The sequence below is a fragment of the Homo sapiens genome, chromosome 7 (genome assembly GCF_000001405.40).
Source record: "Homo sapiens chromosome 7, GRCh38.p14 Primary Assembly".
NCBI lineage: Eukaryota > Metazoa > Chordata > Mammalia > Primates > Hominidae > Homo > Homo sapiens.
Genome location: NC_000007.14, coordinates 153,929,327 through 153,945,099, shown reverse-complemented (window position 1 = coordinate 153,945,099; position 15,773 = coordinate 153,929,327). Strand labels below are relative to the sequence as shown.

Sequence of the window (15,773 nt, the reverse complement as noted above, 5' to 3'; positions counted from 1 at the left end):
TGACCCTTCAGAGCCTGCAGTCTGCCGGGAAGACCCTCCTGAGTCAGTTACCCTAAGCCAACACCTGTGGGAAAGAACACATCTTGGACAGGGCAAAGCACAGCGGTGCTCCCAGCAGCAGGAACAGAGAACGCAAAGCGCTTGAGGCAAAAAACAGCTTGGTTTGTTCAAAGAAGAGAAAGACAGTTCCTGTGTCTGCAGCCTCATCCTGAGTATCTTTCAAAAACAAGAAACTGAGGTCAGGAGTTTGAGACCAGCCTGGTTAACATGGTGAAACCCCATCTCTACTAAAAATACAAAAATTAGCCAGGCGTGGTGGTGTGTGCCTGTAATCCCAGCTACTCAAGAGGTTGAGGTGGGAGAATTGCTTGAACACGGGAGGCAGAGGTTGCAGTGGGCCGAAATTCTGTCTCAAAAAAAAAAAAAAAAAAAAAACCCACACAAAAATAAGAAACTGATGGTCCCTCCTAGTTATGGCCTGCAAGGCCCCGTGTGTTGTGAGGCCTCCCACCACACCCGCCTCCTCCTTGTGTGCTGGCACTACCCTCCCAGTCCACGTCACAGCAAGACTGGCTATCCCTCTAAGGAGAAGGCCACCCCTTCGAGGAAGGTGGCTGAGAAGTCACCACCGCAGTCCCCAACACGCTCTTCTCGCTGCCTTCCCATCCCTCCTGGTGTCCTCCAGAACACCGCTGCAACATCACATGACCCGGCAGGGCCCTGCTGCCTTCCTCTTTTGTCCATCTACAGGTCCAAGCACACGCCTCGGGTGAGTATATGTTCAAACAAACTGCCAAAAAAGAACTCACTCTAGTGGCGGTGAACACACATGCACAAACGCACACCCATGCAAACACCCATTAGTTGAGGGTGGGCCGGAGCACACACTGGTTGCCAAATACATGGCCAGACGGACCGAGCCCCGGCTGTGCTGGAAGGAGCGTGCTAACGAGGCTCGTGCTCCAGGGCTTTACGATGCAATCTTCCTTCAATTGATAATTCGGGGGATGATTTCACACACCAGGAGCAGCAGCCTCTATTGTGTTACTTGGACCGATTTCCATGAACACAGCAGATGCTCATTTGCCTAAGTGGGGAAACCGTGGAGCAGCTATCTGAGGAGAGAGGGAAGGAAAGAGTGAACCCTGCAGACTCCACTGGAACTGCCTTTGTTTCAGGCCGGGGCTGGATCTCATCATTCTTTTAAATTCCCTTTTGCAGAAAGAATGTAGCAGAGCATCACTCAGACTCGGGGCATAGAGATGCTTAAATATTAAACCTACATTCTCTATTACATGTTTATTAAACACTGCTAGCTTAGGGGGAGGCAAAATTGCTTTTTATAAACACTGAAGCTGGCAGACACATTTTTCTGGCAATAAGCAATGAAAAACTCTTCTCACTTCCTTGTTCATTCACACCACGGCTGGAGCTGAATGGAGCTGAGTGTGTGGCTTCCTGGGGGTGTTTGCAACTGAGATTGACACTGGAAAGGGAATGAAAACAGAGGCACGTCATTAGAAAGTAAATCACTATCTGAAGCCAGAGCGTGTCAAAGGAAATCTTGATGAAGCTTCCCAGCCCTGCCCTCCCTACTTGGGAGGAAAAACAGCTGAGCAAATGGAGAAGGACAAAAAAGAGGGCTCTACATGATTTGATGGAATTTGGACTGGAAGTCCTTTAGTGGCCCTGGTATAGGACTCAAGTACCGAATTGATCTGATGTCTGAAATTTCCAAGACAAGTCACTCTCTCGGACATATAATACATTTTGTTGATTACAAAATCAACAGATGTTTACTTCTAGAATTTGAGAGGCAAGGGAAGACCTCTGCCCGAAAATATCTCCCTAGCTGCCACATAGTGTCATGAGCTGGCCATTAGAGATTCATTCCTTTGGATCTTCAGACTTTTGTATTTCGTGCTCTAATTGATGAAATCATTGACTCTGGGTCCTTTTTAAACACCTTATTAATAAAACTTTATTAAGGGTATATTGGTATTTCCTGAAAAACAAGGCTTTTACAAAATCAGAACGGTCAAAAAGGGGATGGAAAGGCGAATCTAGGGAAAGTGTAGAGGGGGTAAAATAATGCCAGAGTGTCGCTGGGGCCAGCTGACCATTAGCATCAGGTCAACCATGCATCAGAGAGAAGTCCTTGCTGAGAATTTGTGAAGGGCCTCCCTGAGCATGGGCATTCAACAGTCAGCACCACACTCACTGTGATTGCTGGACCACGTGTTTAAATAAGCAGGCGACAGGTAAAAGTGCTGATGAGGTGGCAGGGAAGAGGCAGAATGGTAGGCAACCACAGGCAGCCGTCTCATAACTAGGTCTCCTGAACAGAGTGTGGGGCGGCCTCGTGAGCAGCCCAGGGATCCCACCTTCCTGTGCCCACTGCACAAGACACAGCCCGCTCTGGCAAGAGTGTCACACAGACAGGCCTAGATGTACATCTGAGCAGCCTGGAGCACAGCTACCTCCTGACATTACATTTTTAGTTGGGAAAATTGATTTTACAGACCGGTCTCCTGCCTCCCTTCCTGCCCTCTCTCCTCCCCATTACTGACCTCCTCTCCACCTCAGGAAGCTCCTCCGTCCATTCCTAAAGTATGCAGCATTCAGCAAAGGATCCAATTCCAGCCAATGCCTCTGAGGGCCACCTGTCCACACCCTCAAGATCTCACAGGGAACTGGCACTTACGTGTCATTGAGGATGTCATGAAGAAGCTTTCTTCCCTCTTAAGAAGGTTTTGGGTATCAACCAACAGGTGAAGTGTGCAGTTTAAATGCAAATTCTTGTAAGTCGCAAGGAGAGGAGAGGCAAAATCCAGCCCTGGGAAGGATGGCCATTGGCAGGATGCCAGGCGTGGGGTGGTGCCTGGCACACAGAAGATGCGTGATAAAAAGGCAGCGGTGAATTGAATGAGTACATAAATGTTTTGTTCCTCTTTTTAATCGAAACATGCACAACGGTGGTGCTAAATTGAATAGAGGTGGGGAATAGCAATTCCTCAGGCACCATTCCACACTGGAGCAGCTCATCCAGTATTCTCTATCCAGCATCTTTTCACAGAAGATTTAAGTTGCCATTGCAGAAACGCTTCAGAGGTGCTTGGCTTGCTACCCATTCCTTTTTTTTCCCAGCCACAGGTAAAATATGCAGCTACAAGAGCTTATGGAAATCGAACTTTCCTGGGGAAGTGTGTAGGAAAGGAGAGAGAGACAAACAGAAACAGAGAGAGGGAGAGAGGAGTGCAAGAGAGATTGTTTCTTATCTAGCATGTTCTGAAAACTCCTCTGATTATCCATGCAGAAACTCCAGTGAAAAGATTGGGACTGCATTTCTTACCTTGCTGTGTACCTGATACACCTTCAGCTCTATGGTCAATGATTTAAAACCTTATCCTTTGAATTCCCGTTTCTGAAAAAGACTCAGAGCTGCAGCATGGACCCCAGAGGCCAAGAGACAGCTGAGGCTGCTGTAGATAAATGCAGTCACCTCCTGTTTCCTGTTTCTTCCTTCCTTTTATACCAAAGGTCACCCAAGTGATGGAGTCTGTGGGGCCCTCTCTCTCCAGCAGTGTCCTGCCAGGGAATCATTCCATGGCTGTGGGATCCAGGCCTGGACTACTGGGATGAATTGTTAACCACCAAACCCCAGAGGGGCCCAGGAATCTCTGCTTCATTACAGACATCACCCAGCACCACCTCCCACCATGGACATCTGTGGTCAGGGACCTGCTGAGTTCATGTGTTTGCTTTAGAGAAAATGCCATGGCTGTGTCAGTTTGTTCACATGGCATTCGTGGGTCACAGGCAGCTCTAGCACCCCGAGGCTGTCTGGTGCCAACAGTGGCTGGTTTACAATGACAACACATTCCAACACATCAAGGGCTCATTTTTGTGCTAGCCACTGCTGTGTGTTCCATGCCTGCTATGCACGAACTCATTTAATCTTCATAAGAAACCCATTAAGCAATGCACATTTCTCTAACCCTTCCGTTAGGGACAACGCCTCACTTTAAACATTCACAGTATAAAATCAGTGTAGAACTGATTCTGTCCGCGGTTAGTTTCCTGATCTATTGAAGGCAATCAGTCACTCCTGGAAAACAGACTGTGCCCTCTCCCATGTGCAGAGATGGGAGCACCAATGTCTATGGAAGTTCCAGGTTTCGCTACAGGAGAGATTTCGGAGCTGCAATCTGGTTGAAAGAAAAGGCCAGACACCTTGTCTTGAAGCTGCGCATATGCTTGGCGAACACACCGCTTTTATTCAGATCTTACATGAATTGGGGCTTAAAGAGTAGAGACAGGAAGATTACTCCAGGTGGCAGCTGGAGTGGTAACTAAGTCCTGCTTAGTCCCCAGGTGGGCTCTCTTCTCTATGGGTCAAAGTCTTCACCTCTGGCATTTAACACATGTCAACATGAATCATCAGAGTCCTACAGGGAGATGCAAGGGGAAATAGTTCCCATGGTGCAGTCACTGCAGCTGGGGTGGGTAGACCGTGGTCCCATCCCCGTTTCTGTGTGTCATGAAACATGGAGTAAATCAGCTCACCTCTCTGGGACCTTAGTTCCCCTAGCTATAAAATTAGGGCCCACCTAGTACAACCTCATAGAGACTATTTCAGTGCAAAACCACTCACAAGTAATTCTTAGTCTATTGTTGAGACAATATTGCTACAGAGTCAAGTGACTCTGCACTTGACTTCAACACTTGACTTCAACACTTAAGTTGCGGCGTGTTTTGTCCATATCAATCCCACCAAAGCCAAAACGGAGGGTTCATATATGGGAACTCCATGTCTGTGACCCTTGGCCAATATTCAAATAGATCCTCTGGTTTGGAAGGAAGTGCTGTCATGGCTAGGTCAGCACCAGCTTTTCGGTGGACTGACAAAATGAGTTTTCCCTCTTTCCTTCTGGGTGCTTTCTGCATCCTATGTCCTGGAACTGTAAAAGCCTGTTCCCTGCAGACAGACTCAAAAGAGGGAGGAGGAAGCTAGAGGGCCACAGTGCATTGTTAGCATGATTTTACTTGTGAGAAGGAGCCATGCCATGTCTTGTCCTGGCTGGCCCAGCATACAGTCAAAACACTAACCTCCCTTTACACCTTCTGCCACTTTGATGATGCTCCTTACGATCGGGCATGTTTCTCGACTTTAGCTTAGTAAGAGAAAACTTCATGCTGTATGAACTGCCATGTTATCAACTGATCTTCTAAGATCCAGCTGGTTTATCTAATCTGTGTAGCTTCCATCTGGTTCCTCTTTCCAGGAGGCATGTCAGCATAGTATCTTTCATAGCAAAATGCAATAAAGTGATATGATGAAAGTCTGTGCAATTATTTGCTTTCATAGCTGTCTTTCATATGAGAGCATGGAGTTCCCTGAGAATCAGAATTCTGTCTTATTCACCTTCTTATCTTCTTAAATCTAGCACAAGACTTGACACATTCAAATAAATGGCAAGCAAATGAATGAAACCATTCAAAGAAACCAGTCTTTGGGGAGGAATCCCTAACCCCAGCCTGAGTGAGGTCCTTTTTTTTCAGACTCCTCACAGTGCCCCACACTCACCTTTGTGTCTCTGTCACAACTATAATTTAAGACTAATTTCAGTAATTGTTGGTTTAACGTCTGACTTTGTTGCTAGACTGGAAAGCTGTGCACTCTCTGAGCCCCGAGGCCATGTCTGTTTTGCTCCCAACTGTGGCACAGAGCAGGCACTTAACAATATTTGTTGAATAAGAGATTAATTCTTGGCAGTCAGAAGAGAAATTGCAAATGGCTGTGACTTAACGCTTGTACTTTATAGACTGTGTGTTATCTAGAACACTTTGAGCACTAAGTCAATATTAACTGATAATAACGAATTTGTACTGTATATGAAGTATGGGACTAACAGTACTATCGCTAAGGTAATGGATGATCTTAATGCACCTTCTTCGAGGCATTGAAAAATGAAAATAATATATTAAAAAATGACATCATTCTACCCTTTATGATTTTTCTGATTGTAGCAAATTGCAGTGAACACCCAGAAAAAAAATGCATTTTATTTGGGGAGGTGTGTTGTATTATAAGTGCACACAAATGAATTACAGTCTACTTCTGTATTGCCACTGATGTATTTGAAAAAGTACTTTTGTGTCTACAGCTTAAGAATTTTTAATGAAACGATTTGATCAGGCAAAATGAGCGTGTGTAACCACCACCACACTGATGAGACTCAGCCGGCCATTCCGTGCACTCTGCAATGTGACAACTCAGGCAGCTTAGCAAGGCTCCTAGCTTTAGAAACCCTTTTATGGATGTGAATTTTTCCACCATTCTTTGCTTTCCTTCTTTAAGGGATAGGTCTTGAGGAATACGAAACTAAAAATGAAGTTGCAGGGAAGGCGAGAGGAGGCCGTGTGAGAGAAGTCAGGCTAAATGGGACAGTAATGGTCTCATGGGGTTGGACGTCGATAACTTTCTACAGCAAAGCACTCACATGCATGTAATGAACGCATTAGCAATCTTGACTCGGCTGTTTTCTTTCTCAACTCATCCATTAGGCTCTTTCTAGCATCTAGTCACCTACAGGCAGAGAATCTTCATGGTTTGCTGAAAGATCTAAATGTCAACTTCTTTGCTTTGCTCTCTTTAAGACTTAGAGGTTTGGTCTCTACCCTGGAAACTCATTTTTCCTAAAAGGATTTCAGTGCCTGCCCTAGACTTCCATGTGATAAATCTGACAGATTCCTTACGCACCTTTTCAGCCAACCCAATGGCAGGACTTCCATCTAAAATGGGAAGTCCCCAATCCCCAGATCTGAAAAGCTTACCTGCTCATCTGGGGCAAACGCATGAGTAGAACGAAGATGAAAGGCAGAGGACAGAAAAGGTAATAGATCAGATTCCAGGGACAATAAAAATGCCACACTTTTCAGGTTCCACTCATTCCTTCCAACCAGGGAGGAGATCAGATTTTGCAGGGAGCTCATCATATTCTTCAGAGAGAAAGGGACTCTGAATAGGATGTAATACACTGCAGGAAGGAGCTTCTTGCCCCTGTCTCAGAGGTTCTCCTTACTAAGAGAGAACTAGGACAGCCCTCGTAGCACCTGTCATATATTTTTTTGAACCTATGTCATCCTTTCCCTCAGTTGAATGGGATCTGGCATGTGTAATTCCAACAGGCTTAACCAAAGGGTGCGTTCTTGCTTCACGTGATGCAGTGGGCCACTCTGAGGGGCAGCTCCAGGACCTGTCCTAGGGCCATCCCTGGGCAGGAATCTCCTGGTGTGCTTTCCCCAACACCAAGCTGAACATGATGAAAATGGGCATCAAAGGTAGCTCTGGGCTGGGCACAGTGGCTCATGCCTGTAATTCCAGCACTCTGGGAGGGCGAGGCAGATGGTCACTTGAGGTCAGGAGCTTGAGACCAGCCTGGCCAACATGGTGAAACCCCATCTCTATTAAAAATACAAAAATTAGTTAGGCATGGTGGCGGGCGCCTGTTATCCCAGCTACTTGGGAGGCTGAGGAAGGAGAATCACTTGAACCCGGGAGGGAGAGGTTGCAGTGGGCGAGATCGCGCCACTGTGCTCCAGCCTGGGCAACCAAGTGAGACTGTCTCAAAAAAAAAAAAAAAAAAAAAAAAAAAAAAAGTTAGCTCTGAAGAGGGAAGAAAACACAAAAGAACAAATTGAAGAAAGGAGGTGTTCTTTCTTCAATGATGATGAGCTGGACACCACAACTCATCTGTTTTGGTGATAGTTAGGAGGGAATTGAGGCTTTTATGTAATAAACTTAGTGTTTTGCGACAGCCATCAGCCAGCGTAATCTTACAGCCCCACCTCCTCACTTTTGGAAGGCTGGAAGCTGGAGGCCCACAGGGCTTTCTAGCCTTCCTCTGGCTATCCTAAGGGTGGCCCTAGAACTTGAGACCAGACTACTTTCCTGAGTCAAGGGGTTCTCCTCATAGCCGCCCTGGTTCCCCAGCTGCTTTCCTGGGATCTGAGCCTCCCCAAGGTCCTCCATGGGACCCTAAGTCCACCAGCGACCACACCTGCCTAGAGGCCAATTGCAAGTAAGTCCGTTGATCAAGATTTCTGAGTCCTGACCTTGAGTTTTTCTCTCCCTGTGGAACTCTGGTTGTGGGTGAGTCCACTCTGGCTGCCATACAAAGTCCCACAAACACTGTTGGCATAAACGACAGAAGCGTACCATCCCTGGCTCTGGAGGCAGTACTGAAGGGTCACGCGTCACTTCCTCTCACATTTCTTTTTTTTTTTGAGACGGAGTCTCACTCTGTCACCCAGGCTGGAGTGCAGTGGCTTGATCTCGGCTCACTGCAAGCTCCACCTCCCAGGTTCACGCCATTTTCCTGCCTCAGCCTCCCGAGTAGCTGGGACCACAGGCGCCCACCACCCCGCCCAGCTAATTTTTTTTTTTGTATTTTTAGTAGAGACGGGGTTTCACCGTGTTAGCCAGGATGGTCTCGATCTTCTGACCTTGTGATCCGGCTGTCTCGGCCTCCCAAAGTGCTGGGATTACAGGCATGAGCCACCACGCCCGGCTATTCCTCTCACATTTCAGTGGCATTAACTCAGTCCCAGACTCTGTCTACGTGCGGGAAGATGGGAACACCGTCTATCTATGCACTGAAAAGAGGTGGAGGCCGTGGGGTGACGAGCTCGCGGTCTCCCCAGAACAGCTGCAGGACGTTCCCCACCCCAGCCCCATCCTGGCCGCTCCAGCCATCCTGCTGGCCTGTCTTCAGTTCCTCAGCTCCTGACAGGGATCATCTGACCTCCTGGAGAACATTTCATATACTGAGAGGTGTTTTTTTCTGCATCACTGCCCTGCTTGTCCCATCCAGATATTAATGCCTTGTCTCCACCCACCAGTTTATAAGCTTCTTAGGAGACAAAACTTGCATCCTATTGCACTTTGCTGTGATTCCTACTTATTTTCTAGGGAGTATTAGAGCGCAGATGCCGGTACAGACAGAATAGCTTTACATTCCCCCTTAAGGGAACTGCACCCAGCCCCGTGCTGGACTAAGGGCTTCACGTGACATTAGATTTCTTGGAAATAAAAGAAAATTAAATAACATTTCAGACTGCTGATTAGATCATCACATGCATGTTGATGATCATGAGCACAGCTCCGGGCCAGGCCTTTGGAGAGTGATGCAACATGTAACCAGCCCCAGGTCTTAGCTACAAGTGATAACCGCCCTTAGAATATCAGGGGGCACAGGTGTGGGCTGGGGAGCCCACCAAAGCCTTGTAAAGCCGACTTTGACTGGAAGCTTGGAGTCAGGTGAACGGGAGAGCAGCGCGTGGTGGTGGGGAAGTCTGCAGATTGGGGTCTGAGCCAGGCTGTGAGCCCAGGGGCCCCTGTGCCTCTGCAACGGAGCCTGAGTCTCCTCATTTGTAGAGGGGACCAAGGTCGCACACCTCCCAGGGCTGCTGTAAAGGATAAACAAAATGACATGTACCAAGCATGATGCCATTTCTTTATGTACCATGCACTGTGCTGCCATCCACTAAGCCTGGATCATAATCGAGAGGGGCCAACGGGGCCTCGGACGGCAGGGAGACCAGCTGAGCCAGGGGCAGGTTCCACTCTGTGCGGCAGGTTAGGGAGAGAAGCCTGGGTGGGAGGTTAGGCCGGTGTACGTGGGATTTCAATGCTGGGATGTGCCACGCTGACATGAGAAGTTGTCTACTTTCCAGCTGAGGGCACATGACTAACGCTAGGGTTAGAGGAGCCCGGTGTGGTGACCGGCATCCCTCTCGGACAGGGCCCCTCATGACTCACTCCCCCTCCTACCGGGCACGTCCCCCCCCTTCTCTGGCATGCACGGGACACTGGTCCCTCTCTGTCTGCTGACCTGCAGCTCCCCTTCACTGTCTGCCCCGCAGAGCCCAGCAAGTGAGGAGTTTGTTTGGCTATCACTGTGCCCAGAGTCAGCACTGCCGTTCAGCTTCCTCAGCACCCACTGGGATGGGCACAGCGTTATGTCAGGACATTCGCCATCCCTGGGGCTGGTCCCTGAGCTCCTCCCCCGGGCCTTCTGTCCCTGCACCTCCAGCCAGGATGGCACCCTGGGCTATGACGGACCCTCCGCTACCTCAGTGCCGAAGCCTTGTTTTCATTTCCATCCAAACGTGCTGGCACTGAGCCTCCTCCCTGGTACTGGCAGTGTCGGCTCATGTGACCTGCAGACCAGGATCCATCCTGGTCACCATATGCTGAGACTGTGCAGCTCACAGACAGTCTCCCGCTGCCCTGACTCAGCAAAGCATCTGGGCAGTGTTCTGCTTCCTCGTTTCCTGCAAGTGGGTTTTGTAGCAAAACAAGGTCTGCACTGCTGTCTCTGTGGTCCTAGAAACTCTCCTCTTCCAGATGACAGCTGTGAGTGTCTGCTCGTGTTTGTATGTACGTGAGTGTGTACACACACAGGTGCAGTGATCCTTCAGATGAATATCTTGGGCATATCCCTATATTTTACAGAAATAGACACTCTAGAACTATAATAAGTTGGGAAAGAGCAGGTCAAATTTAGGGTAATGAGCTTCCAGAAGTTATGCTTATATTGTATTTACATGAGTTACCCCAAAATGTGGAAGAGAACCTCAAATGCTGGCCTTAGAACCTCAACTATCTTCCTTTACACAACTATTATTTTATTCCACACTGTTATTTTATTATCTGGTCAAAATAAACAAGAACAGCCTTGATGGAAAAAAAAAAGGAGAAGGGGCGCTTTCACACCCCTGCAGAGTACATTCCCTCGAAGGCTACATGTGGCCACAGGGAGGCCTCCCAGCACCTGGCCACAGCTCGCTCACCTGCCTGCTGCCTGCTGAGCCACAGAAGTACCCTGTCGCCAGGCCCCACAGGGAAAAACAAAAGGTGCTTCAAATTAGATGAGGGGAGCCCCTGAATCCCTCACACTTCAGGGATGGTGTCCCTGAGAGCAGTCCTTAGAGATGATGATGGCGTCACCCTACAGCAGGGCTGTCCTCTTTCATCTGCAAAGGCCCAGAAAGTAAATAGCCTAGGCTCTGCAGCAAACACATGGTTGTCCCTCACAACTGAACTCTGCTGTTGTTGCACCAGCCACTGACAAAGCATGAACACAAACAGCATCTGTGTTCCCACGCGATCCACGATACATGATTTATAAAAACACATTGGGGGCCTGCTCGGCCTGCAGGCTGTGGCTGGCCAATCCATGCCCTATGGGACTCTAAACAACCCAGGATGCGGCACAGTGTAGGCTGCACAGGACATGGCTAGGGAGAGAAATCTGCCTGCTGGGGGGGAACTAAAAGGGAAGGGGAGACGACCTGTGGTGTGTGTTTCTATGCAGGTGTGTGTGTGTGAGAGAGAGAGAGAGAGAGAGAGAATGTGGCAATGTGAAGGGCATTGCAAATATTTTAACAAAAGGTAAAGGATGGGGTGGTAGAGAGAAATCATTGCATGATCTGAAAGGCTTATAGTCTTGTTTCCTCTATGCCTATTAAAGAGCCACACAGCAGCTGGTGCAACGCCAGATAGTGAAGCATCCAGAGAAATTAACTTATTTAAGATGGCAGAAGTGTTCGTGCTGTTGATAAAGACACAGAATATTCTTGTACTGTTTTTCCTTCTAGTTATTATAAATAAACATAGACAAAGGTTTACCCAAATTGGACAGAACAAAAGGGGAGCGTCCTTCCCTTCCTGGGAGTGCCTGTACAATGTTTCCCTATTTTAGCCAGAGACAGCTTAGAGCTGTATGGAACATAAGGCAAATTTAATATAAATTTTCATGAAATCACAGAATATTAAAGCCAAATGCAATTTTAGAGATCATTGGTCAAAAAAAAAATCTTGTTTACCGTTGAGGAAACTTAGAGGTTACACAGTGTATTAGTCCATTTTCATACTGCTATGAAGAAATACTTGAGACTGGGTAATTTATAAAGAAAAAGAGGTTTAATGGACTCACAGTTTCATGTGGCTGAGGGGGCCTCAAAATCACGGCAGAAGGTGAAGGAGGAGCAAAGATACATCTTACATGGCGGCAGGCAAGAGAGCGTGTGCAGGGGAACTCCCCTTTATAAAACCATCAGATCTTGCGAGACTTATTCACTACCACAAGAATAGCATGGGAAAAATCTGCCCCCAGGATTCAAATACCTCCCGCCACGTCCCGCCCATAACACGTGGGGATTATGGGAGCTACAATTCACGATGAGATTTGGGTGGGGACACAGCCAAACTATATGACACGGGTTAAGATCATCAGGAGGTGGAAACAAAGAAAGTCATGGTAGGTCCTGGATCACAGCCAAGACTTCTGGGATCCCTGTGCAAAGTTCATTGAATGTTATGCATTCTGTATTTTCTGTGGAACAGATTATCTTCTTCCCCAGGTCTGGAGGAAGTTTATCCTCTTCCCCAGGTCTGGAGGAAGTTTAATGAACAATGCCTCTTCAATGCAATCAGATTCTCAATCTTGTTTGTTCTTGCCACACATGAGAGAAGACAATACAGCTCTTGTCCTTTGGCTGTTGCTACTTCTTAGCATTTGTTCAAAAAAGAAAAGGAAGCTCTATCAATCAGAAGACATTTCCCCCTTTGTGGATGCTAGTGGCTTATAGTTCATATAAACAAAATGATAGGCTGGGCACAGTGGCCTACACCTGTAATCCCAGCACTTTGGGAGGCCGAGGAGTGGGTAGATCACCTGAGGTCAGGAGTTTGGGACCACCCTGGTCAACATGGTGAAACCCCGTGTCTACTAAAAATACAAAAATTAGCCAGGCGTGGTGGCACATGCCTATAATCCCAGCTACACAGGAGGCCGAGGCAGGAGAATTGCTTGAACCCGGGAGGTGGAGGTTGTGGTGAGCCAAGATGGCGCCATTGTACTCCAGCCTGGGTGACAGAATGAGATTCTGTTAAAAAAAAAAAAAAAAAGGCACAAAATGATAAATCAAAGCCAAGTAGCAAACAATAAGAGAATAAGATAGAAGATTTACTCTCACCTTTTACAAGTCTCACTTTCGTCATTTGTAAATGATCAAGAGTTCTTGTGCAGCTCTGATCAGAAGACAAATGAGGAGAAGCAGTTTCCTTACAAGTTGTCTAGAAAACAACTGTTCTGCCATGCTATAAATTAGCCGGTGCACGAAGATTGTTTCTGCACTCAGCAGATCCTCAGCTGATCAGGCGATGCAAATTAAGGCACCAAAAGCTGAAAAACAACTGGATGTGTGGCACTTTGATTTTCCACATCTATTATGGACACTTTTAAGAGGCTGTTGAAATACAATGCTTAGGCTACCAGCCATAATACAAGTTCAAGATAAACACATTAGAATTCAATTGTTGTCTGAGGAAAAGTCACTTGTAAAAGGAATTTGTGTACTCAGGGTATCACAGAAATAAGTGCTCAAAGAAAGGGCTGTTTCTGGCAGCCTCGGAGGCCCTCCACGGAATCTGACAGAATAATGAATTTAAATAGTTTTTTTCCCATGAAATACTTTAACTAGTTTTTTTGTTTGTTTTTTCTGTAAGGAACAATATTTTTCTTCCTAGGACATTCACCTGAAGAAAGGTTACATTTACAGCAATGAGCCTGAAATGATAGTAAAACTTGTCTCATTCACCATCATGGTAAGACTGTCAAGCTTCCAGAAGGATGAGAGCTGCCTTAGTGCTAAGACTGTCTCTTGGCAAATGCTCTGATGAATGTTATCCTTTTTTTTTTCTTCTTAAAATGGCAAATCTTTGAAGCACCTCCATTCTGATTTGAAATGCTGAATTATACTTCCCTACAGAAAGTGGGTAACATGATCTTATAGTTCTAGCCTGACTCTTATCCACAGTGATTTTAAATGCTGAGTTTCTGGTAATTAGTCAGGGTTTTTAATTCTATGGGAAAGCTGCAAGTACACAAGTGTGACCATAATCTCCCGAGACTGCTTCTGAAAGGCCAAGAAAGACAGATACATCCCAGTGAGCGTCATTTCCTATACAGGAGTCACCTTGGGATGGAACACAGCTAATCTTAATAATGCTGCTGTTCAAAATATTTTTGGAATTCCTTTTAGAGAATTGCTTTCAGAACTGTGTAAAAAAATTAGTCACATTGTTCTAAAACAAGCTGCGCCTATGAAGCAGAGTTGGCACTGTTGGCTTAGTTGAGAGCCAAGCTCAAGAGATGTTTCCCCAAACCCAGTCCCTCCAGTTGCCACTACTCATTTTTTGCAGATTCCAGATATTCAAGAGACCATGTCCTTACAACATATCCCAGGTCCTGAAAGCAATTCCAAAAGCCAAACTCTGCCTCCCTGAACTGTCTATTCCATGATTTTTGAGCCAATTGCATGAGAGGATTTAGTGAGAGCCAGCAGGTGAACCACTCATGTTTTATGCCTTTAAAAAGTCTTTCGGTAAGAACACAAAGTCTACTCTCTCAGAGATTTTCAAAATACAAAACATTGTTATTAACTGTAGTTGCCATGGTGTGCAGTATGTTAATTAGCCAGATGGAGCCATTACACAGTGTATGTATATTTCAAAACATCATGTTGTACATGAAAAATACACACAATTTTGTCAATTGAAAAATATAATACAATACAATACAATACAATAGGAGCCATATCCTGCTGAGAACATCAGAGGATGCTGGTTTCTAAGTATGGAAGTCACACCATCTTCCATGAAGACAATGACCCACCAGTGACTACCCTGACTACACACTGAGAGAAGGCTGGATATGAATAATGCTAGTGCATCCCATTTTGTTGTAGGAAGGGGTGAAATAAAGGATTGAGCTGATAATTAGCTTTAAGAAGAAAGGCAAAGAAGAGGATGGAAATCTGTCTTCTGTACTCTGTGTCTTGATTCAAGGCTGACGGATGACCCTAAGTGGTTGCTTCACACTGTAGCCAGCAAGAAATGGCAGTGGTTTCATTCCATTAATACCCAGTTAACTCATTTGCACGTGACTAATAATTATCCAAAGCTAGTTTTTCCAAACTTTTCAGAAAATTGAAGCTCTGGAGTCAGACTCACTGATGAATGAATAAAAGAGGATGCAAGGATAGGAACTTTCCCATTAATATTCCCAAATAGCCATCTGCATCATGCTGTGCTCTTTAAAAATGTTCAGTGGCTTCCACGATGTCAGAATAAAACATAATCTCTTTGACTTAGAATTATGGAAAATGAACATAATTCACTTCAAGTAATGCAAATGACTAATACCTTTATGAAAATTCACCCTGTCTGACAATCAAATAAATTACAATTCAAACAGTAATTTAGCAAGAAAAGCTTTTCTTTCAAGGTGGTCATGATTAAAAAATTAGTAATACAGAGAACAGACAAGTGTGCAGTACGGCACTCATTCCCACCCACTGCTGGTGGGAAAGTGCCCTGGGTCTTTCTTCAAAGCCATTTGCAAATATGCTATCAATAGCTTGACAAGTCTGTACTTTCCCCAGGGCTGCTCTCTCCTCTATCTGTATTCACTCCCTTTCTCAGCTCATCCATCTTAAGGCTGTAAACATCATCTAGTTGCTGATGACTCCTAAGAAGATAGCCCAACTTCTAGCCTGCTCTTAAACTCATTTATTCAACTTCCCAGGACATCAAACCCAACATCTGCAAAACAGAAAACTTCAACCCCAAACCGCTTCTCCCACAGCTTTCCCAATCACAACACGAAGCAACTGCATTCTTCCAGTTGCTCAGGCCCAGATCT

General features: G+C 46.1%; 1 protein-coding gene across 8 annotated transcripts in view, besides 3 other annotated features; it reads right to left on the bottom strand.

Moving 5' to 3' along the window:
- DPP6 (dipeptidyl peptidase like 6) overlaps positions 1–15,773 on the bottom strand; it is a 1,146,153-nt gene that overhangs the window by 949,186 nt on the left and 181,194 nt on the right. The gene's annotated exons all lie outside the window — the stretch shown is intronic.
- Positions 329–828: an enhancer, noted in NCBI's record as "H3K4me1 hESC enhancer chr7:153641357-153641856 (GRCh37/hg19 assembly coordinates)". NCBI's record gives its function as "activates a minimal SCP1, AML or CMV promoter by ChIP-STARR-seq in naive H9 embryonic stem cells {active_cell/tissue: H9 hESC(naive)}" and the evidence as "EXISTENCE:reporter gene assay evidence [ECO:0000049][PMID:30033119]".
- Positions 829–1,330: an enhancer, noted in NCBI's record as "H3K4me1 hESC enhancer chr7:153640855-153641356 (GRCh37/hg19 assembly coordinates)". NCBI's record gives its function as "activates a minimal SCP1, AML or CMV promoter by ChIP-STARR-seq in naive H9 embryonic stem cells {active_cell/tissue: H9 hESC(naive)}" and the evidence as "EXISTENCE:reporter gene assay evidence [ECO:0000049][PMID:30033119]".
- Positions 9,534–9,725: a silencer, noted in NCBI's record as "fragment chr7:153632460-153632651 (GRCh37/hg19 assembly coordinates)". NCBI's record gives its function as "represses an EF-1alpha promoter that drives an FKBP-Casp9 reporter gene in an ReSE screen in K562 erythroleukemia cells {active_cell/tissue: K562}" and the evidence as "EXISTENCE:reporter gene assay evidence [ECO:0000049][PMID:32094911]".